Source organism: Homo sapiens, chromosome 6 (assembly GCF_000001405.40).
Source record: "Homo sapiens chromosome 6, GRCh38.p14 Primary Assembly".
Classification (NCBI taxonomy): domain Eukaryota; kingdom Metazoa; phylum Chordata; class Mammalia; order Primates; family Hominidae; genus Homo; species Homo sapiens.
Window position 1 is genome coordinate 133,254,757 of NC_000006.12, and position 25,654 is coordinate 133,280,410.

The following is a 25,654-nucleotide window of genomic DNA, read 5'->3' on the forward strand; positions in this document are numbered from 1 at the left end:
AGAGAGATCTAGCCTAACCCTTCCATTTTGCAGATGAGATGTTGTATTATGTGACCTTAAGACCTTAAGTCATTTACTCAGAACAAAACAGAAAAAGAGAACTTCATGCTGGGGACACTTCATGCTCCCAACTCTACATCTTACCACTTTATTTTTATTTGTTTGTTTCTGATGAGGAGTTGAGAATGCTGGAATCAGACTACCTTTGTGTGTATCCAGGCTCTGCCACTCATCAGCGATGTGACTTTGGTCATGTAATTTTCTGAGTGGCTGTAAGCCATAGTTCCAGCATGTGTACATGGGGAATAATAACAGTACTCGCCTCATGGAGTTGTAAGGAATAATTGAATTCATGCAGGAAAGACATTTGGTTCAGTGCCTGGCCCACTATAAAAGCTCAGGTTATAGTTTGAATTGATATCTTGGAATAAAATGCTGAGTGTATTTGATATTCAGAGAAGGAAATTCATGCTGCTAAAGCAAGTTTTTTTTTTTAATCTGTTACTTAAAAAATACAAATAAGTCATACTTTGTATAACATATTAAAACAGAGATGATAGAGGTTACTTTTGAGAGGAATGACCAGAGGGAGCAAGAGAGAGGCTTTGGAATGCTGATTATGTCTTTTATCTTGGTTTGGTTGCTGGTCATGTGAAAGTGTTTATTCAATAAAAATTCATCAGTGATCAACTTTTGATTTATGTATTTTATTTTACTGTGCATATGTTATACTTTCTTAAAAAGTTTTAAAAATACGGATATATTTAAAGTAAAAAGTGGATTTACTCATTCTTATTCTCTGCAAATCAGGATAAGTTGTTATACTTAGATGTGCATCTTTTCAGGCATTTTTTTTTCTATATATGTGTAAATGTAATAACTATGTGAGGATGTAATTTATTTTCATTTTACATTTTTAACTCCAATAGGATCATTGATTTCCTTAAAACTTGCTTTTGATCTGCTGAATCTTGAATATTTTTCCACATCAGTACATATAGTTTTGGGTGCTTCTATTTAATGTATGCAGATATTTCATAATTTCACTGTTCCCCTCTTGGTGTATGTTTACATTGCTTCCATATTTTTACTATTACTAAGTATGTTGCACTGATGATTTTTATGTCTCTTCGTACATCTGCCAAAAATATCTGTAGATAAAACTCTAGATGCAATATTAATAGATAAATATGTATGTGCATTTTCCATAGAAAATACCAAAATGCTTTTTAAAAAGATTTATGAATCTTGCATCTTTAAGGTAATATTCTCATCTTTCTCACAAAAACCAGGTGCAAAAATTTCAACTTAATTGAACCTTGTAATTATTTGTGCTCTGGTTAAGAAAAATGGTTATAGTAGTAAATTCCTTGAAACTCATATAGTAATCGGAATACTCCACTATGATTAGGATAAATAATTCTATTAACGATATATATTTAATATATACATATAATTTATATAATTAGTTTCTCACTTAAGAATATTTAGTATTCATTTTTATGAATGCATATTATATTTACTTATGGTTCGTAAGCCCAAATGTTAGGAAGAAATAAATCAGTAATATTATATTCACTACATTTTTTTTTACTTAGTACCATCAAATATTTACCAGAATTATTAGGAGAAATGGTTCTAACTCTCATGTGATTGGTGAGAACTTATGAGGAATGATATATTGTTATTCTAGTAAGAGCCTACTCTGTGCCAGGCACAGTTCTAAGCACCTTACATATATTACGATAGCTTTTTAACATAGAGATGAAAGGTATAGACATTGTATAAGTAATAAATGACATTACTCCATTATAAATGTGTTGATAAATATTATTATACATGTCACAATATCAGTTGTGTCATATCAATGACTAATTTATAAATCTGTTACTTATTATAATCTGTTTAATGTGGAAATAAAAGTTAATGCATCAAAATCCAGAAAATTGCTACTCAAATGCTGGCTAAAGTAATCTGATAGATACAGTTTTAAAATGAAGTATATTAATCAGTTGATTTTGTTGTTCGATTTTTATATGTAGAAAATTCTGTCTCCAGAATATTCAGTTCTTGTAGTTTTTGGTTAAGATTTTGATTAATCTTCAATGGTTATCTAGTGCCTTTAAAAAGTAGTCCAACTCAGAATAGCTAATGTATTCCTCTTGCATTGAATAAATATGGCTATCAATTTTTGTGGGGTTTTTTTTCCTGCAGAATTTCCTGTTATTCTAAGGGATTCAATAGGACTTACACATATAAAACTGAAAATTATATTACTATGGGGAAGCTGCTTTGTGCCTTTCAGAAGGAACTCTCTTGCTAACTTAAGTACTGTATGTGTGTAGAATAGCTAATATTTTCCTCCCAAGAAATTTCATGTATGCAGTTAAAACACTCTTAAATTGATTAAGGATTTGTTATATATTTCCAGAAGCACTCAAGAGTACTTTTATGGTTATAAGAGTAGAGTGCATTAGAATGCCAGAAACCAATGAATACGCTAGAGGCCTTCAAAACTGTGCCCAACATTCCTGACTTTACCATATAAACATGTGGGGTAGCCTGGAAAAACAAAACAACTCTCCTTCCCCCAACGTAGGTGAGGCCTGTGATGATAACACTTCAACTGGCTTGAATATTAATTTGATACTTTTCTGTTAGAAGTAATTTTTATTACTTAGCAAATGAAATGGAGAGGTAATAAATATGACTGATATTTATTTCTTGAGTAAAGTATTATTTTACATCAGATTCGACCAGTTACCTTTATCCTTTTTGGAAAATGTATTATACAAACTACCACAGTATTTTGCCTATTAATCAGGGAAGCTAAAAAACGTTTTATAAACGTTGAATCAAAACTCTCACTGCTGTGAGGGAATTAAATTTCAAGCAATATACTCCTTTTATAGGGTGAGAAACTGAAGTATGGAGAAATTACAAGGTTTTCCCAAAGCTATACACTGAGTCATGGCAGACATAGAAATCTACAATTCTGTTTGCCTGATTCAATCTGAAACTTCATGAAACGTAATTTATCCATTTCCTGACATGTGCTTTAGAAGTATATTTCCTTATTTGCTTATTTATGCTCTCATTCATTCATTCATGCATGCATTTATGCACTATTGACTATTTATGCACTCATTCACTCATTCATGCATTTTAAAAGAATCGGTGTTTTTGTATGATACAGTCTTGATTTAGGGACTATGAATATTCTGAATTTATATATCTTAGATATTTCTTCAAAGAAACTCATTGCATTTTTTTCACGATCATGAAAAAGAAATTAAGACATTAAGAAAACCAAGCTGGATTGTCCAAGTGTGGGCCATAGCAGTGTCTATGGGCAGCACCTGAAGCTAATTCAGGAGTGAATCTAGTTTGTTCAAGTGCTTGAACAAGAACTTGGCTGAAGCCCTGGAGGAGATGCCTGGGGCATAGAGTGGGGACGAGGAAAAACCATAGCACTCTTAGAGAGTACTGTAAGGACTAGTATCCACATCTCTACCACCTGATGTCTTTACATTTGGTTCAGTCAAGAGAGAGGGGGCAAATTATTCTGCTTCTCATTCTGCCATCTTCCTGATTTCAGTTCTCACGCTTTAAATTCTTTTTTATTGCGATCTTTTTCTTACTAGTTTAACCAGTATTTTCCCGCGCTTTCTTCACCAAATTCGTTTCTTTCCATCAGCTTGCGGAGTTATATTTTTTGATCGAACTGCTGGGGTTACAAGTAATTTGAAATGAGGAAAGTGTCTAGCAACTTCCCTCAGTCCAGTACCCTGTAACAGAGACTTCAGAGTACGTAGTGATGACACCTGCCCTCCTCCCCTTCTATAGAGAGTTTAGTGGGCAACTTTTTTGGCTTGTTCTCTTGTTCTTTTCTTGCAGCCCCAAGACTTAGGACTCAGACTTGGTTTCTGCTTGTATGGCTCTCCATCTCTTCCCTTGGAAGAGTTCTTTCCCGGGGGCTTTTTAGGTCCAAGAGCATTTGGACCCCTGGGAGATGAACTTGTAGATTCTACAAAGAACATCCAAGTACCAGGCAAACCACATCTTCCTGTAGCTTAAACGTTAGTCTTTTTTCCCCCTTCAATTTTACTGAAGAATAATTTAGTCTCCAACAAACAAGCAAACAGAACCCTAGGGTCTTTCTCAAAGGTGCATTCTTGCTGCTTTGAAGATTATCATCATTAATTTCTATTTCAGCTAATTGGTTTTCCTTTACATTTTTATTTGGGTATAAATGTGATACTTTGGTATACATTAATGTTGATCTATATTAATACGTCAATTTATAATTGAGTGATTTAAAAATAATGATGCACTATGACCTAGTTTATATCTGCCTTCCACTTAATGCATTTCCTAAGCAATTATGCTTTTGTGGCTGACTGAATTCCCTTATAATTCCCTGTTGGGAAACAAAGATTTTTTTTTAAATTGAAGAAGTGGTCTTGTTAACCAGGGGCACCGTACTTAACTTGAGAGAAAAAGATTAGGAATGACAGGAATGACAGCATACTCCTAATATCTAACAGCCTGCCATACATGTGAAAGCAGGACACATAGCAGGGAAGCATAACGTTGAGTTGACTCAAAACACCAAATGTATTTGATACATTATTTTCTGAATTCTTACAACTTCAGCCCTTTTAAAGGTCTTTGGATTTTTAGAAGCTATAAGGGCAGTTTTTGGTAAAGGTGGCCCTACTTCTAATTCAGTTACAGAGTCAGTGGAATGATTTTTATATTCAAATGCTACAGGGGAATTTATTGAGAGGAAAAAGGGTACTCAAACTTTCCTGGATGCCTCAATTAAAAATCTGGATCAATAAAATTTCCTCAAGTGTCCCAAATTTAAGGAAAGCAAACAGCATCTTATTTAATTACATTCTTAATTAGTATTCACTATAGACACAATTCAAATCAGTAACTTGGCATTAGATGAATCAGATTTATTGCCATATTATATAACTCTCATGTTTACTTTGTTGTGTTTGGGACTTCTCCCTCCCCATAATAAAGAATATGACTCACAGGTGTCACACCTTGATTCCTGAGAAATTAATGTTATAGAAAAGTTGTTTGGAAAGATATAATTGTGATTTTGTTATTGTTTTTGTTGTCATTATTTTCTTTTATGGGGATGGGCACACACTTCTTGAGATTTACCAGATTTACCTTGTAGTTCATAAATTATTTCTTTAGATGTATCTAATTTGCTGTTTAGTTTGTTTCTTGTAAAAAAATTCAGTGAATATATTTTTAAAAACATTTTTATGGTTCTCTTCCAGGTTTGTGTGTATATTTTTTTCGTGTGTGGCTTTTCAATTTTATTTCTGTTTCTTTTGTGTCTGTTTTAAGTATACCTATCTAGTTTTTTCCACATTGCTCTGTAGTTTCACATTCTTAGATTCCTAATTTGTTGTTGTGGCTACTCTCTACTGTGTTTTGTTTCTTTATGTAGCTTATAATTTTTTTTTTCTTTTTGAGATGGAGTTGTGCTCTGTTGCCCAGGCTGGAGTGCAGTGGCACGATCTTGGCTTACTGCAATCTCTGCCTCCTGGGTTCAGGCGATTCTCCTGCCTCAGCCTCCCGAATAGCTGGGATCACAGGTGCCCACCACCATGCCCAGCTAACTTTTGTATTTTTAGTAGAAAAGGGGTTTCGCCATGTTAGCCAGGCTGGCCTCAAACTCCTGACCTCAAGTGATCTGCCTGCCTGAGCCTCCCAATGTGCTGGGATTACAGGCATGAGCCACCGCACCTCGCCTGTAGTTTATAACTTTTGGTGGATTTCTCTCTTAGAACCCTTTGTACTCTGTGGAGCAATTTTGCATTCCCCTGGAGTCTAGGGATTTCAAACCTCTAGGTCAGTCTTTATTTTATTTTATTTTTTTGTCTTGAGGTTTCCATACCACAGATGCAGTAAACATTTAGAATTTACATCCTGCAAGGCTGAAGTTTTGATTTATCTCACTCAAGAAATTATTTTCTTTTATTCTCTTCCCAAAGGCTCCATCATAGGACAGGCTTCTTTGCTGAATCTGATGGTGGGCCGAGTTTTTCTATCCCCCCTCCAATAAATGTGACAAACTTTTTAGACTCCTTCCTCTGTGGATTGCCTCTTGCTTTTGCTTCCTGCCCATCGCCATAAAAGAAGATAATGACAACAAAACGATAACAACACAAATGTAAACGTACCTTTTCCTCTTAACTTTTCCATATCATCAATTTCTCATGAATTAAGGTGTGATACCTGAAAGTCACATTTGCCTTATCAGTTATATTCATATAGTTCCTTTGTCTTATTGATGTATCTCTCATATTATCCCTCATATCCACTTCTCCAGGCCTTTTTCCACCCCATGTCAGTCTAGATTCTCTTGGCTTCTCACTTGGAGCGTCACAGCAGCCTTTAAGTTGCCACTTAACTCCACTTCTTGTTCATCTTGTTTGTCAGAAATCTGAAGTAGATGTGTTGTTGCAATGATATCACATGTGCCATTCTTTGTTTTGGGGGTTTTAAGGCTTTTAAGGTTATCAAAATATTGTAATAACCAATTGTCTTAATTGTATTTTGTACTTATTCTCCTGCTTTTGCCAACTTAAAATGTCTTAACATCCTGTTAATACTGAATGCTGATGCTTTCCTATTCCCTTTTCTTTCACATGTCCGTCTATAATTGTTTATTGATTATATCAGTCTCTCAACACTAAAGGCACCAGTCACAACTTTGATGTTATACAGAATGACAACTAAAAGGTGACAAATGCTAATGACTTAATCGAGGAGTTGTTCATTTTTACAAGCTTACCTGAGTTCAGAGAATTGGTAAAAGACTGGTGACTTTTGGCTACTATCTAAATATAATTGGTTAATGTAGCTCCTGGAGATCAGTGGTTAGTATAATACTCTTAGTTGAGCAGGGTTAAAAATAATTACATTTGTTTAAGTTGCAGATACTACTCTACTGTACAGCAAAGAATGTTAAAATGTTTTAATTCAGTATATGAAGAGCAAAATATAAAAACAGGTTTTCTTCCACTCTCACTAGCAAGCAAAGTGGTCTGTATTTTTGAAATATATTTTTTGTTTAATCATAACAAAATATAATACAAATGTTATTAAAAGCCCTATTTTATGGATGAAGACAGTGATATTTAGAGATATTAATTAGCTTTTCCAAGATCATACATTTATCCAGTAGTAAAAGCAAGTTTTCACAAGCTGATCTATTTTATTCCAGTCTTTATTTGGAATCACTAAACTTACATTCCCTTTAGCAAAACTATCGTTTACATTTCTAGGGTTTCAAGAGTTCAATGCTAAACTTGGGAGATCTATTCTTAAATTCTCTCAAAGTGCAACACATTTTCCTCAGGATGATCATAAAGTCATCAGATGTGTGTTAAGCAATATATATAGTCATATACTCTTGATCAAAAAAGATTTCCAGGTTACACAGAAGAGAGATTTATGGCTGAGAAAAAGGCAGATTGCTTCTAAGAAAGGCTTCAAATATATTCTCTTCTGACAGGCTACAGGAGAGCCAGCTAGATGAACCATTACAGTGTGTACAAAATGCTCAGCAGAATAATTTCTCAGTACTGGTAGGGAAGAGCAATAGGAGTAACACAAGAGAAGGAAAGTTGGTCTGCAGAGTCTGCCTTAGTATCCGTAGGGGTGATGAGGTTGCTTGGGCTAAGAATTCTTTCACATGTCTCCCTGGGACAATTCACTCAGAATTACTTCTGTGTTTTCTAGGCTATCTAGGCAACCATCACCAATTAGCAAACACAGACAAAATAGAACACCTTGTTTGGACCTGCTTGTCAAAAATCAAATGATCATAATTTATAATTCCAGGAAGACTTGCCATCAAATGAACTTATGACAAATGACCCAAATGATTCTCACAAAGTAGAGCTTGTTGTAACTTTTAGCATGAGAAGTATGAACCCCATTATCATTTTTTAAACATTTTGAGTTAAATGGACCGTTTTGCAAAGTCCATGTTCTATCTTTATAGACAGCTCAAAAATAGCTCAGCATCTAGTTTGTAGGTTGGCTCCATTTAAGGAGCTTGAAGTCAGGCAAGGTGCTCATTACTATTCATCCAGATCTGTTTCTTGGACACCTCAGCTGTTTTTCTTTTCTACGGCCAGGGAGGAGAGTCATGTGCATAGTCCAAGAATGTGCATCTCCATGTCTCTGAACAGTTGGCCATAGAATTGGAGCTAGGTGTTCTTTGTGCCATTGGCTTTCCTCTCTGGCATGCTTCCCGGGTGGTTGGAGCCAGCCAGTGCCTGATCCAGCTTCACAGACCCAGTAATGAAATTTGGAGGGCAGAGTAGGTAACTAGGTACACAAGAATTGTAAAGCAATGCCCATCTGGACAGTTGATCACAACTATAACTTCTCAATAATGTAACAGGAATATAAACTGTTAGACTTCCTATACCATTGCAATATAAAGAAGATAATTGAAGGCCGTGAAGATAGCTCATGAAATGCAAGGAAGAATTGGACAACTAAGCAACAGGAAGAGCAGAGAAACAGTGAGACTTTGGGAGTCACAAGATCTGGGTGCTTAAATTCTGCCAGGACTTTCTTGCCATCTTCATTTTTGCTCCTCTTTCTCGGTCAGTTCTCTTCTGTCTTTCCCTACAGACCAGCTTTTTTCCACATGGATATGAAACGTTTCCAAGTTTTATATCCTAGGGGTTTTGCCACTGAAGGAGGACTAGCCTGATATTTTCCCAGACTCATATCCTAAGGAAGATGAATCATTAGATCCAAGTAATTTCGTGCAACTGGAGAAGACTTGCAGACCCTACCTAATGGGTTAAGCTGGATATGCATCTGTGGGAGGGAGATATGTTTTGTGGGTATAATACACATGCAAGCAAACCTTAATATTGTACAAGATACGCTTCTGAAAATTTACTTGCAGTTTGAAAATCTGGAAGCCAAACAGTAGACCAACTGTTGTGAGTGTTAGAATTTAGTGTAATGGCACTTTCTGTGACCCAGGCAACTCTGCATAGGCAGAAAGATTCTTGAAAGCCCCACCCAGGTTGGAAAGGGTCTGTGTCAGAGGTCATGAGTGGGACTCTTCAGGCACCTGTTTCCCCATCCCAAGGTCTGCACATGGACTGGAACAAAAGTTTTGGCAGCTGCAATTTTTAAATCTTTTCCCAAGGGTATCTAGGGATTTAAAGCAGTAGGGAATGTACTCCCCCACTTTCCCTTGTTTTCCTTTTCACTGCAGCAAGAGGCAAGTATAGCCCTCAGCCCTGCTTGTACCCTCACAGGAGACTCATGTACAGGTCCCGGGCTCTGGCTGCAGGACAGTGTGAGGCTGCTGACAGGGCGAGAGAATGGCGAGAACAATGGAACAGGACTGAGGGAGAAGGAAGAGGAATCGTCCCCAGAACTACTACTTGGGACGGTGGTCCCAGGGAGCAAAAAACACCCCTGGAGCCCCTTCAAGGGGCCTTTTGGCAGAGCGGTACTACCGCTAGACACTGCCATGGCTGCAGGTAGGACTGATTAAAGAATTTCTGATTTCTTCTGAGGACAGGGTAAAGCTCTGAATTGTTTTTAGAGACTGCATTCAGATCTATATTTCGGAACCATCACTCTGGTTGCACTGTGAACGGTAACGTCCAGGGAGCAGGACTGGAGGGAAGGAGACCATTACGTGGCTGTTGCTCCTGCCCAAGCAGGGAACAATGATGGCGGAACGCCTGTACTGGCAGAGAGGAGAGAGAGGAGGGATTTGGCGAACTTTTGGAGGTATTGGTAGGACTTGGTAATATATTGAATGTGGAGAGCAAATGGGCAGGGAGTCAGTGACAAAGCCTAGGTGTTTGGCTTTGATGACTGGCTATGCCTGTGCCGGTTGTGTACAGAATCCAGAGGTTTAGCGTTTCCATGTGCAGCGTCGGTCCTCATTCCGCGGCAGCCTGGTGTGGAGTTGAGATGTGCCCCCTCCACTCCATGTTCACGTTTCTTTAGCCAGAGCAAAGCATGCCTGGACAACCTAGGTTTCTTTCTTTCTTTCTTTCTTTTCTCTAGAGAGAGAGGGTCTCCGCTCTGTCACCTAGAAGAAGTGCAGTGTCGTGATCATAGCTCACTGCAGCCTTGAACTCCTGGCCTCAAGTGATCAGAGGATTAGGTGTACTTCTCTACAAACTTCTCAAACCTCCTTCAGCATCTCATTCCTTAAGGGACCTTACAGTCTCTCCCACCTGGACGGCGCCATGGTGCCTCATTCCATTTCTGAGAATTGTCTTAAAACTTTATATAGAAACTTGCTATTATGTATTTAAATGAGAAGAAATGTTGAATTTGTAATTCTAATTTTCTAAGACAAGAGTTTGTAGCTCGCTTCTAGCAGAGTTAAAGAAAAAGATATGATGAATGGTCTATATATTGAAAACTGCAGAAGAAATAATCTAATATGGAATGGGTGAGGTTGCTACAGGTGGTGCAAAAATAATTGCGGTTTTTGCTGTTACTTTCAGTGGCAAAAACCGCAATTGTTTTTGCACAAACCTAATAATACTGTTTGAAATTCATATTTTCTGGTGGAACAGTCTTGAGATAGAGCGGGAACTAGATTATTGGCTCATAAAACAGCATGCAGTTACTGTTATTCCTTAATCTTATATCTTTATTATGAGGTAATGCTTCTCTTACTTGATTTGGAGAATGTTCTCATCTTTTTCTCATATATTTGTGAAAACTAAATGTTAAAGGAATTAACATAACAACCATTGCTAAATTATGATGTAAAATAATACTGTGTCTGCAATTAGCCTAGGTAGTTTTACTTGGTTCAATAATATAAAATCACTAGGCTCATAATATTTTAGTACCTTAGTGTGATTGGCCAAGAAAAAAATTCACGTTACCATAAAAAGTCAAACCAAGTAACAATTAATCTAAATTTCAAGGAAATATAAAGCAAAGTATTATGTTGTAACATGGAACATTAATGTAAATAACTCCCCAACAGTTCATGAAATAGATTCTGAACTGGCAGTTGACAAAGAAAGGCTAGTTTTGGCTTAATTCTCTTATGCTCCAATATCTTTCCTGAAGTCTTATTTAATTTCACTTGCGTTAGCAACAGTACTCTGAGATGGTGGTGCATCTGGAAAATTATCACTTCTTTCCTGACAATCAGTATCTTTAATTTAATTCTTACATATGCTTTCTGGAAATATTACATTCATACTTTGATGACGTCTTAAAAATAATTTCAATGTAATAATTATACATGTGTGGTGAGTAAATTGTGTTCCGTAAAAGATACTTTTAAATCCTAATGTCTGTATTTGGGAATGTGACCTCATTTGGAAACAGGGTCTTTGCAGGTATGATCAAGTTAAAATGAGATTTTACTGGATTAGGATGGGTCCTAATACAATGACTGTTGTACTTAAGAGGAAAATTTGTACAGAGACATACACACACACAAAAGAATGCCATGTAACGTTAGGCACGGAGAACATCATGTGACAATGAAGGCAGAGATTGGAGTGATGCATCTATGAGCCAAGGATGGCCAGCAACCCCCAGAAGCTGGGGAGAGACAAAGGATGCTTCCCTAGGATCTCCAGAGCAAGCATAAATCTGCCAGCACCTTGATTTAGGACTTCTTTCCTCCAGAACTGTGAGAATAGATTTCAGTTCTAAGCCACCCAGTTTGTGGTACTTTGTTATAGGAGTCCTAGGAAACTAATGCAACATGCTATGTTGTAAATAAACAGTAGTTCTAATTGGTATAAATAATAATTTTAAGTATATTTTATTATTAGGTCAGGTGAGTAGGAAATTGCCTGGTAGACTAATTATCAATGTTGTATTTTCTGAAAAGTTAAAATATTCCCATTCAGTAAATAATACTTGTCTAAAAGTTTCTATCTGTATTGTCCTAAAACAAAGCAAAAATTAAAATGGAGTCAGTTATGTACCTGAAAAATGTGAAAAAGGAAAGAAAAATCTTTTAGGAAAGATTTTTCCTAAAATGGCTATACATTTGAGAAAGAATTTTAAAACTTAAATCATCTGGCTGTTTATTCCATTTTTTTGTTTACATTATCAGATACATTATGTATGATTTCATACATTATGTATGTTACATTCAATCAATATTTATTAAATACCTAAAATTTGCTAGGCCTTGAGCTAGGTATTGTAGATAGGTAAATAAGACAAACATTCCCTTCCCCTAAAGAGATTATTTTGGCATGAAATTTAATCTGTAGAAGAAGTGAAAGAGGCCATTTGCAGAGTCTACCATGAAAATTCATTTTCACTATCTGCTGTAGTTTTACCTGATCCTGTGAAACCATTTTAGCATCATTTGGTTTTACTTTGTGCTTCTGTATTATATTGGAGAAAATAAAATTTACTTATTGCACAGACAACATAAAATTAATTAAAGTATGTGAAACCAAAAATGTAATTGTTTATCAAATTTTTTTTAGTGTTTCCCATTCATCAGTATCCAAATACATTCTTAGTTGTGCATCCATGTTAGCATAACTAAAATGTGGTGTTCTTATTTTTTCATCTAATTCACAATCAACAATGTTCACTTTTCCACTTTTTTTTTTTGAGACAGAGTCTCACTCTGTCACACCCAGGCTGGAGTGCAGTGGCATGATCTTGGCACACTGCAACCTCCGCCTCCTGGGTTCAAGCGATTCTCCTGCCTCAGCCTCCTGAGTAATTGGGATTACAGGCGCCCGCCACCATGCCCGGCTAATTTTTTGTATTTTAGTAGAGACAGGGTTTCACCATGTTGGTCAGGCTGGTCTCGAACTCCTGACCTCAGGTGATCCGCCCACCTCGGCCTCCCAAAGTGCTGGGATTACAGGCATGAACCACCACGCCTGGCCCCTCATCATTTTTATAATTACTTTTTTGATCATTAAATTATATTATACAACTGACCATGATTTGTTTAATTAATCCACTGCAAAGATGAGGCTGTTTCTAGTTTTCATTGTCATGAATTATTCTGTAGTTTATATTTTACGAGTTTTTTTGGGGAAAGGTTACTTCTTAGGAAAGTTAATACTGGGTAAAAGGGCTTAAACATATTTATAGCTTTTAAAGTACAGAGATGGATTGCTTTCTAAAAATATTAGAAAATGACATTGTTACTAGCAAATGGTTGAGGACACCGTGTTCACAGTGTTTCTGATATTAAGTATTATCAATATATAAATAGTTTGGGCATTGAATATGTATACAATAATCCAAAAAACATGTACTTATTGCTCAGATTTATGTATTTCAGTAACTGAAAGTGAACGCTTTTCCATATATTAGTTTATTATTTACATTTTCTTATAATAAATTATGTTCTCCTACTCTTTCCTAATCATTTAGTGGGCATTTAAACTTCGCCTCACTAATTTTTATGTCCTCAGTAAGTGTATATATAGTCACATTTATTTACTAAAGATATTTTCCATAATCTGTTGTATCCTTTTACTTTTGGGGCTGTTTTTCTTTATTCAGAAATGCAAAGGTTTTGCTTTGTTTTGTTTATGTAGGCAATGAATTGTATGGTCTCTTTGCAATCCAATGCAGTATTTTTGCCATTTATGTAATCCATGTATCTATCAGAGTAAGAAGGAACATCAGATTTTCCTCGGAAAGAGAGCACTTGGCTAATTTGTTATCAAGGTAATGAGGAGAAAATGGCTCTAAAGGAGAAGGCCAGCCACAGTTCAGTCTGGGAGAATAGAGGGATTGACATGAGGTGGGCAGGTGTCAAGTCTTGGGCAGCTCTGTGCCTGCTGACCAGTGGCCAGCACTTAACTATTTGCGTGCATCATTTCCAAGGTGAACCTGAGCCAGAGTGGTCTTGGTTACTTGGGCCAGGGGACAGTTCACAGGACCAAGGATCAATGGGTCAGCTAGGAAAGGATAAGCAAGAAAGGGATTAGCAGGAATCAGGACCAGGCTGAGATACCCAGATTTGAGGGGAGGAACCAGTGCATCAGGAGGAGAAGAGGGAGAGTGGGAGGAGGAAGGTGGGCGTGTGAGCTAAGAGGCAAAAAGCTGGGCTTTTCCATCACGGTTTCTTAGCCTCCACACCCCATGCTGTCCCAACACAAAAACACCACCGTAAATCTAGAACTCTCTGCCTACTTATACTCCTGAATTCAAATGTGTACTGCTGGCTGGGCATGGTGGCTCATGCGTGTAATCCCAGCACTTTGAGAGGCTGAGGCAGGCAGATCACCTGAGGCCAGGGGTTCGAGAGCAGCCTGGCCAACATGGTGAGACCCTGTCTCTACTAAAAATGCAAAAATTAGCCAGGCGTGGTGGCACGCTCCTGTAGTCCCAGCTACTTGGGAGGCTGAGTCACAACAGTCACTTGAACCCACGAGGCAGAGGTCGCAGTGAGCTGAGATTATGCCACTGCACTACAACCTGGGCGACAGAGCAGGACTTCATCTCAAAGACACAAAACAAACAAAAAAACCGAATGTGTACTGCATCAACTTTCAGTGTGCTTGATAATCCACCATATCCTATATACCCTCCCTTCCCTTTTCATATGCAGTTTAAAATTGTGCTTTTCTTCGAAATGATGCTTTCCTAGTTTTGGAGTATTTTAAATCAATATCTCACTGAAACTGTCACATTATATACATGTGTTATTATTATTTTCTGACTTTTAAGAATGAAAAAAACATACCTTTGATCTGTGTCTCTGTTATATATGCATAAAACTTTTGCAATTTACATTTTAAATTTCTCTTGTAATTTTTAAAACGTCTTGTGATCTAATAAGGAAAGTAACATGTACTTTGGAAAATATTGCAAAGCATAAAAGAAATTGAAGAAATTAAGACCATGCCTACTTGGATGCAGTAGGGAATATATGACTGGATATATGTAAAACTGAGCAAAACATCTACTGATATTGAATATTCAATAAACTGAATTGGCATCTGTATTAGGGTTCTCTAGAGGGACAGAACTAATAGGATATATATATATATGGGAGTTTATTAAGTATTAACTTACACTTATTATTAACTTAACTTACCCTTAACAATCACAGGGTCCTCCAATAGGCTGTCTGCAAGCTGAGGAGCAAGGAGAGCCAGTGCGAGTCCCAAAACTGAAGCACTTGGAGCCTGATGTTCAAGGACAGGAAGTATCCAGCATGGGAGAAAGATATAGGCTGGGAGGCTAGGCCAGTCTCTCTTTTTCACATTTTTCTACCTGCTTTATATTCACTGGCAGCGGATTAGATTGTACCCACCAGATTAAGGGTGGATCTGCCTTCTTCAGCCCACTGACTCAAATGTTAATCTGTTTTGGCAACACCCTCACAGACACACCCAGGGTCAATACTTTGTATCCTTCAATCCAATCAAGTTGACATTCAGTATTAACCATCACAAGTCCACCCCTTGTCAACTTGAACCCATATACATCTCCTGAGATTATACATCATCTTCAAATAAAGACAATAATAAGGTCATAATTATACCTAACATAATACAGCTGTCCTTTGTATAACCGGAAATGCACCAATCCCCAACCCAAATACTATTACATAAAGTTAACAATATTTAAATGCCGATATGAAGTCAATAAATCTTATGTCACATGATAAAGGAAAAGGAAATAAAGGTATTTTCTTAGTACAAGTGTATACATGCACAAACATGTTTTTAACAAAAGAAGGAGGAAATACTCATGACAATTACAGTCCCCGTTTCTGCAGTGGTCTCGTGGTCGTAGATGCTATTGATGACTAACTTCTTCTACTACCCATTCTGTATTCCCTTTGCCTTCAGCAAGCACCTCAACAGGTCATGTTTTTTTTTCCTTGTGGAGTGACCCAAACCTTCATTCCTGGGGGATCTGGGCCATTTCTAGTCCTGCCTGGATTGGGCTGTTGTAGTTTCCCATTGACCTTAATCATAGGGCGTGGTAATACTAAGAGACACCCTAATGGATCTCCTGTATTCCATGCATACTCTTCCTTACCTCCGTTGTGGAGTAATAGACTGATTTCATCTTGAAAGTCTGGGTCAGTCAGTCACCCCAGCCAACAATGTAACTCCCCTCTTAGCCTGTTGACTTAAAGGTAGGAGGAGCCCAAAGTGTCCAGGTGGCAATGTTAACATCCAGTTTAATGGAATCGTTGTTGTCTCTCCTGGTGGCAGTGTTCCTCCCTCTGGAACTAAGACCTCTAGGCCAGCAGAAGGTAATGTCGTGGGAACATTTTGCTAGTGGAAGGAAAAATTTTGCTAGTGAATCACTAGGGGTGATGGTGAGTGGTGCCACTTCCACTTCCACCCTTGATTCGTGAACCCGTGAATCCTGGCTATGGGAGAGACAGTGCCATATATTGGATGCTGATTCAGAGCGTACATGGCTTTCTAGAGAACTTTGCCCCAGCCCTGCAAAGTATTGTCACCTAGTTGGCATTGTAATTGTGACTTCAAAAGGCCATTCCACCATTCTGTCAATCCAGCTGCTTCAGGATGATGGGGTACATGGTGAGACCAGTGAATTCTGTGAGCATGAGCCCATTGTCGCACTTCTTTATCCATAAAGTGAGTGCCTCGGTCAGAGGCAATGCTGTGTGGAATACCAAGACAGTGGAAAAGGCATTCCGTGAGTCCGTGGATGGTAGTCTTGGCAGAAGCATTGCGTGCAGAATAGGCAGACCCATATCCACAGTAAGTGTCTATTCCAGTGAGGACAAACCTCTTCCCTTTCTATGATGGAAGAGGTCCAATATAATCAACCTGCCACCAGGTAGCTGGCTGATCACCCCGAGGAATGGTGCCACATCGAGGGCTCAGTGTTGCTCTCTGCTGCTGGCAAATTGGGCACTCAGCAGTGGCCGTAGCCAGTTTAGCCTTGGAGGATGGAAGTCCATGTTGCTGAGCCCATGTGTAACCTCCATCCCTGCCACCATGGCCACTTTGTTCATGGGCCCATTGGGCAATGACAGGGGTGGCTGGGGAAAGAGGCTGAGTGGTGTCCACAGAATGGGTCATCCTATCCACTTGATTATTGAAATCCTCCTCTGCTGAAGTAACCCATTTGTGAGCACTCATATGGAATACAAATACCTTCCTGGTTTTTGATCACTCAGAGAGGTCTATTCACATATCTTTTCCCCAGATTTCTTTGTCACCAGTTTTCCAATCCCGCTTCTTCCAAATCTCTGACCATCCAGCCAAAAACCATTGGCTACAGCCCATGAATCAGTATATAATCACACATCTGGGCATTTCTCCTTCATGCAAAGTGCACAACGAGGTGCACTGCTCAAAGTTCTGCCAACTGGGAAGATTTCCCTTCAGCGCTGTCCTTCAGAGATGTCCCAGAAAGGGGCTGTAGTGCTGCAGCTGTCCACTTTAGAGGGGTGCCTCCATATCATGCAGAACCATTTGTGAATCAGGCCCTAGTCTTCTCTTCCTCTGTCAACTGATCATAGGGAACTCCCGATGAGGGCATCGATGCAGCCTTGGGGAGAGAAGGTAGGGTGGCAGGAGTAGAAACCATGGACATTTGAGCCACTTCCTCATGAACTTACTTGTGCCTTCAGGACCTGCTCAAACCTGATCACATATATGCTACTTTCATTTGATGATAGAATGCTGCTCTGTACGACCTTCTTTATGGCCAGATGGGTCAGAAAGCTCCCAGTTCATGATAGCCAGTTAAGGTTGCATAGTGACTTGATGACTCGTAGTCAAACCTTCAGTTTCCACCAAAGCCCAGTAATGGGCCAAGAGCTGTCTCTCAAAAGGAAGGTAGTTATCTGTAGAAGATGGTTGGGCCTTGCTCCAAAATCCTAGAGGCCTTTGCTGTCATTCACCTATGGGGGCCTGGCAAAGGCTCCAAACAGCATCCCTATCTGCTACTGGCACCTCAAGCACCATTGGATCTGCTGGATCATATGGCCCAAGTGGCAGAACAGCTTGCACAGCAGCCTGGACCTGTTGCAGAGCCTTCTCCTGTTCTGGACCCCAGGCAGTTTTATTTGGTAAAGTGAATGATTAAAGGTCTTGGGGCCAAAATGATCTCAACCTATTTTCAAACTTTAAATGGGTTAGAAGCCTGGCTCGCTGGCATAGAGCTAGGCGTGGAATATGAGTCCCTAGTGGGCCACTTTTGGTAAGCAGAACTGGCACTGTGGGAGGAGCCAAACGCTGGGTTAAGGCACCCGATGCTGATGCTCATTAGACACCCCACTCTTGTTACCAAAATCTGTATTAGGGTTCTCTATAGGGACAGAACTAATAGGAGATATATATATGTATATATATATATATATATAAAGGGAAGTTTATTAAATATTAACTCACATGTTCACAAGGTTTCACAATAGGCTGCTTGCAAGCTGAGGAGCAAGGAGAGCCAGTCCGATTCCCCAAACTGAAGCACTTGGAGTCCAGTGTTTGAGGGCAGGAGGCATCTAGCACGGGAGAAAGATGTAGGCTGGGAAGCTAGGCCCGTCTCTTTTTTTCACACTTTTCTGCCTGCTTTATATTCGCTGGCAGCTGATTAGATTGTGCCTGCCAGATTAAGGGTGGATCTGCCTTCTTCAGCCCACTGACTCAAAATGTTAATCTCCTTTGGCAACACCCTCACAGACATACCCAGGATCAATACTTTGTATCCTTCAATCCAATCAAGTTGACACTCAGTATTAACCACCACAGTGTCCGATTGTTTCTTTAGATTGTAATACTCTTTTCCATTTAAATTGTATTTTCAGAAATATTTAATGTCAGTAGATATTTCTTGAAATGTGACTTCAATGATTATGTTCATCTATGATGAACAACTTTTTAAATCTAAATTGTTTTTATTATAATCTTTTAATTTTTCTTTTTTAGAATTAGAATTTGAACACTAGAAATGTACCATTGCAATTTTAAATTACATTTCATTGTGAATTTGAACACAGTTTTATGATAATTGAACATATTTCTGTAGGGCATGTGCCTTTCTGTTTGAATTGTAAGAGCTCTTTATATGTTAAGAACATCAGCCCATTGTGTTTGGTATTTGCACAGGTATTTCTAGATTTTTCTGTGCCTTTTAATTTTCATTGTGTGTGTGTGGGTGTGTGTGTGTGCGTGTATGTGTTTTAAAAGAGAGAGCAAGAGAGAGGATTCAGGGTTACTTGGGTTTTTGGTGTGTCTTCTATTGCTACTATGATAAAATCCTCTATCTGGGGATTTAAAAATATATGCCTATTTTTCTTAGAGTTTTTCAACTTTAATTCATTTGAAAATATTTTAATGTATGGTATGGAGTAAAGATATTTTTTGAATAGTTAACCAGTTATCTCACCATAGTGTATTACTAATTATCTTTCCCATGTTTATTTGTAATACATTCTTTAACATATTGTCTTTTTAAGGTTGGTCATGTATTTTATATTTTTAAAAAGTGAAGAGTAATTATTTTTCAGAAGAATAATCATCTGATAATTCAAATTTTCCTGTAAGAGAAAGTTGTCATATTAAAATGCACACTTACTTTTTCAAATTATTTTATGTACTTTTGAAAGTAAATGGTTAATTCAAACTCTTGATTGTTAATCTGTCAATTGCTTGATGACATACCTCCCTCAGTAAAATAGTGTATTAACTGTTTATTGCAGACTGTGTTTAGTGCAGACTATGGATATTTTTGTTGATCTGTAGAATTCCTGACTAGCTGTTCACATACCCCACTTTTACCATGACACTATTTTCAAGATCATTAATTGCATCAGATATGGAGACAATATTAGTGGATTTTCTTCTTGAGAGAATGCTCCTACAAGTTACTAATTACCATGCTATGTCTTGATATGTTTTTGTAACCTTACAAATGAATATAAAGATAACATTTTTCCCCTTTGTTTCCATCTTCTTGTTTTAGATAGTCATTTTTACTTGAAGGAAGCTGCTTCTACTTGGGAGTGGCAGGAGAAGTGAGAAAACCACATGGAAGACTCCCAGGATTTAAATGAACAATCAGTAAGTCTTCATTCTCAGTTTTGCTGAAAAAAGTTGCGATAACACTACTGAAAATCATACGTAAAAGAGATATATTGTAAGAAGTAAGTTTTTCATTAAATATATTTTTAAATGATTTTTGAATTTCCTTTCAAAGACCATGAAACAGACCTTTGGAGATTTATGCCGTTTCTGCTTAATGATGATGTCACATTTTGATGTCTTCTTTGATTTTCTACTTGGAAAACTAGTGGTGGAAAGACTAAGGCATTGAAATCATGATGCATGTTTTAGACAGTCTAAACAATTTTATATACGTCCTTTATTATTTTATTTCAGATATGCTGGATATTGTTGAATATCAGAAGTATAAAAGGAGAAAGTATATTATTAGCATGCTTGTTAGTCATTTTAAGGAGGAAAGAAACCATAGTTCTCAAGCGCTTTTAGTATTTTACTAGATTCATTGCAGGACCAAGAATGCACCAGCTTGATGGCAATCCTTTTAAGATTCTGATTTCCCAAGGGAAAGGCTCTTTGCAACCTTTCCTCCTAGCTTGTTAGTGGTGTCTCTGTGACAGTAGTTCTTTAGCGTGTGGAACTAGAGGCAGTGGGAGGGCTTCCCTCACACCCCCACGCCTTCACACTACTGGAAGCTGTCGTTTGAGCTGTTTTGCATACGGACAACTCATGATGTTACAAGTAACAAGACGTGTGCTTACTGAGAGTGTGTTCTGCAGTCTGATGCTGTTCCTTTTTTTTTTTTTTGATGCTGTTCTTTATTAGCTTATGTGATCATGACTTGATCTTACAGTCAAATGTTTCTCCATCAGGCAACTGAGGAGAAGATACTTATATCTAATAATGTGGTTCTAGAAAAGGTATATGTGATGAGTTTAATTTTAAGAGGGATGTATATTCTGGTGCCATTTGAAGTTGATTTGATTTGCTTTCTAGTGGATATTTTATTTAAAAGAAATGATAGCCATGCCTTTAATTTGGATAGACATGACCATAGTCTAATTTCAATATATATTATATTATGATTTATTTCACATGGCATCATAGGAAAAATGTAACAAAAAATTATAAAGTGAAAAAACTATGAAATTTGTCAAATGGTAGAGATATATTCCTCTAGAATTGTGTGACTTCTTTAGTAAGGTAAACAGAAATGGCTATGGGAAGGCAAGGGCTTTCAAACTTTTAAAAATGCTGGTTATTGACTGTAAATATTCACAGCATGGACTCTAGCAAAATGGAGGTTAGTCATCATGACTGTTGGAATCAGAAGTCTGTCTGTGTGACTATGGTGGACTTGAATAGTTAGTAGTAAATGTTGACAACATCTTAGTGGTGATGCTTCATTAAAAGAGTGCTGTTGATCTGAACTTTGTTCTGATACACCGAGGGTCACATACAAGTGTGTGTGTATATGCAAATGTTTGTATGTATGTGTGCGTATATGTTAGAGTGACCAACGTTTTTTTGTTGCCAGAGACTGAGGATTTTCTAGGGACATAGAACTTTCAGTGCTAAAGCACACAAAGTTTGGGGGAAAACCAGGATGGTTGATTCTGTTAATTACTATAGGGTGTGTATATACTCAAGAAAGAATTTTGTTTTCAATGCAGTTGAGAATATATTTTTATGTTTAACACTAAAGTGATGTGTTACTAAAGATGCGTCATATCACCGTTCACAAAATGAAGCACAGAACTTGTAAATCAGATATGGTGTCCTTCTAGTGATATTTTAAGGTCATGGAGCTCACTATTTCTTTTTAAAGTATGTTTTTAAAAGTTTCCAGTGATGCTAGTGAGCAGTCAGGTTTGAGAACAAGAAATCTAGGGAGACCTGCCTACCCTCTCAGCTTGAACCCATTTGCTGAATTTAAATTTCAAACATGTAGACCAATGTATTCATCTCATAAATGTGCAAAGAGATGCTTAGAACTGTTAAATGACTTGCCCATGTTGGCATAGCTGATAAGAGGCAGAGTTAGGACTTCACACGGTTCTTCTGACTCCAAGTCCAAAGCTCTCTCCATAACATCGACGTGCCTCATTGCCTTTGGGTTATGCATATTGTGGCATTTATAGAAATGTCAAAAAAAAAAAAAAAAAGAAAAGAAAAAGAATCAGCCCCTTTACATGGAAATAATTTCTCTTTGAATGAAATCTTTATATGATTCTAAATTTTGTGGAGTATATTAATGTCTCAAAATATTTTGAAAAATGATAGCATTTATTAAGATATAGAACAAGTAGGGGTGGAATTAAAATAAAGTTCATAGTTAGATGAAAGTGAATTTACTCATATCATTGCTATTTTAGTTCAAGAGGGATTCTTTGGGTGTAGACATAGCAGTAGGAGTCATTTGTGGCACATGCACACTGCATCTAGCATTTTCCATATACTTGCTCCAATTCTTACCATGTATTCCTTCATTGCAATTTTTAAGGCCACTATTTTACAGATGAAACTGTGACCTAGAGAGTGTCAAGGTCAAACAGCTGTTAAGTAGTAGAGATCAGAATTAAACCAACTTCTCTCTGGCCCCAAAACTTTTAATGGATTTTGCATGATACAACATAATAGGTAGTTAAGGGCATGAGCTATAAATCAGACTTCCCTGTCACTTAAATGCTTTAAAACCTTTGGGAAATTACTTAAACTCTTCCTCCTCTATGGAGTGGAAGGATAATAAAAAGATGTCTTATGAAGTGCTTGCATATGCCTCACTTAGAGTAAATATTCAATAAATGTTAGCTGCTATCACAAATACCTGAGATATTCAGATGCTCTTTAATGAGTATTCATTCATTCTAGCATATCCAGCTACTGACCAGACATCCCTTCTGGGAGTTCACAGGTCCACACACTCAGCAAATGAAGAATAAATTCACCAGCTCTCCTTCCCTCTCCCAGCTTTTCTTCCTTTGTCCTTTATGCCAGTATTACTCATCTCAGTGAATGGCATCATCAGCTACTGAATGGGTTATGGCAGAAAAGAGGTAGTAATCCTCCTTTTCTTCATCCCGCATCTCAAAGCTTTGTCCACTCTTAATGTTTAATGTCATTCAAAGCTATTCTTTTTGCTCGAGCTCCCTTAGTTTAGTTGAGATCTTTATTTTATCTCTTGACTTTCTTGTTTTACTTTAAGTTGCTTCTAGAGTTGTCTTCCTAAAATACAACCCTGATCACATCACTACCTTCCTTTTTATCCTTCACAAGCCCTTTCTTGCCTTCAAGGGAGAGGCTCAAGTGTGTCATCAAGCATACAGAGCTTAATGCTTATGTATTTCTTCAGTTTTTTTTTTTCTGGTTTCTGTCAGTTTCTGAATCTCCCAGGTTCTCTGAGGTCTCTATGCATTTGCAAGTGCTTTAATATCTTCCCAGAAGGGTCTCTTTCCCACCACCAGGATAACCTGTAATTCTTGAAGACTCAGTTTAGGTTTCCATCCCTCTGAGCAGCCCTCTCAGACTACCTCCTTTCTTCTCACCCAATCAGCCCTACCGGTCAGGGCCCTCTGCAGTGTGCTGCCATAACCCTTTGGCATTTACCTCTAGCCCAGCACTTACCCTACAGGACTGAAACCCTATCTGTTTACTTGCCTATCTCACCACTACATTATAAACTACTTAAGAGTAATGGTGGATCTCGTTCATCTCGTACTCTTACTTCTTAGCACGATTCTTGCCAGTGTTCAGTAAATGTTTTCTTCAAAAGCCTTTATATACTTTTAGTGAGGTATGTTAATGAGTAGCCTGACAAATTTTAGAAAGCCAAAATGTTATTCTCAGAGTAGATTACTGACTCATGAATTTATATTCGACTCACTTAAAAAATTGCATAGAAGGTCTAACATGAATTTAACTGCATATGACCAAAATAAAGTTCAGTCCTTCATTTTTCCTCTAGTATATCTGGCTCCTATTTGGCATTCTGGCTTAGAGGATGTAGAGAATTTTAAGAGATAAGCAACTAAAAAGAATATTTAACTGTCATAAATTTATCTGCAGTTCTATTTTAGAGCTTCATAATTCTTTAGAATTGGTTTAAGTTATAGCCAGTTACAGCTTATTACAGTTTTTAATGAAATGTTCTTGATAATAGAAATGGCTGTGAATGTAGGTTATACCTAGCAATAGCTCCCTTCATACTGTGAAATATATTGTATTTTTGTATTCAAGCAGAGAATGAGCAATATTTATTATTTTTATAGCTTCTATAATATCTTTATAGATTGAGGTGTTTTATAATCCTATTTTGGTGGTCCGGGATATTACTTCAGATTTTTTCTCATCCAAAACATTCATATCAACATGAGATGGAGTCTGGCCTAAATTAATGATCAAGCCAGCAGGTTTGAAAAGAAATATATTTTATTAATGTTAAGTATTGTATGTTATAAAGTAAAACATTCGTGAATATTAAGTAAAACTAAGTAAAATGAATAAGTTACAGCAGGATTGCTTTCCCTAAATGTTATGCATTACGGGCCTGAACATTCATATGTATTTCCACATTGTTACTAAATCAATTCACTTATATTGTTGGTGGCATGATTTTATTAGTGACATCTAAATTAACTCACATTCATTGGATTATGTTACATATTGTATGATTCATTAATACTTCTGGAAATTCATTTCTGTGTCCATTTTTAAATATAATACATTTATATTTCAAAGCTATTCTATTTGTATTTATGAAACATATTCATAGACATGTTTCAGTAATACTTTTGGAAATTTGTTTCTACATGCATTTGTAGATATGAATTGTATTTATTTGCCTTCACCAACCATGCTAATTTAATAATGTCTATTAAAATTCTAGAGCTAGTTTAGTAAATTAATTTATTTTTATCTCTCTCTTGTTTTTCCTTAGAGTACTCATGACTTTGATTAGTCCTCAGATCTTTGTTCCTAGAGATCCTACAGTATTATCTTTGATTATAGCCACTAGCCCATCTTTAAAACGTGTACTCCTCTCTGTATCAGATTTTTAACTATTGTATAGAATTGAATTTGCCATTAAACTTATCATCTAGACATAGAACTTCAGAACCACCAATTTATGACAGTGTTTAAACAGTATGCTAGAATATAATTATTTTGATTAATTTTTGTTTAAATCATTTTTCTATTTTTATAATGTGACATTATCAAAATCCTAAAATTCTATTATTCTGTTGCTTTATTCTTGGGTACTCTAAACCCATTCGACCAGAAGGCATACTTGTACTGAATATCTTAAATATATTTTACTTAGATCTAAACAATGTTGGATTATTCTTTTTCAGGATCCAATTCTGTATCGAAGAACTTGACCTTTAAACTAGTTAAAAGAATCTTGTTTACAACATGTAATTTTTATACTATCCAACTGAATAACATACTTCAGAGTTCTGTGGAATTCTGTTCAAAGCCCAGTTTCAGAATTACTGTTAACTCCAAATTGCCAATTACAGCTTGACTTTGCAGTTATGTAGTAGAGTACCTAAACTGAAGTTACAAAGTAGATGCGTTCAGTATAATTTAATGTTTCATAATCATTAAGGCTTACTCTTCCTTTTTAAGCATTTTTAAAATAATAGTTTTTCTTTTTT

General features: G+C 37.1%; 1 protein-coding gene across 30 annotated transcripts in view; it reads left to right on the forward strand.

Annotated features, from left to right (window-relative positions):
- The window catches only part of EYA4 (EYA transcriptional coactivator and phosphatase 4), a 291,536-nt gene that overhangs the window by 14,164 nt on the left and 251,718 nt on the right, over positions 1-25,654 (forward strand). For all 30 annotated transcript variants that reach the window (XR_001743219.3, XR_001743220.3, XR_007059221.1 and 27 more), the window contains one exon: positions 19,960-20,057. Coding sequence is in view for 27 of the 30 variants with exons in the window: in XM_017010368.3 (XP_016865857.1) it covers positions 20,025-20,057 (33 nt within the window). In the remaining 3 variants the exon portion in view is untranslated. The remainder of the gene's footprint in view (positions 1-19,959; positions 20,058-25,654) is intronic.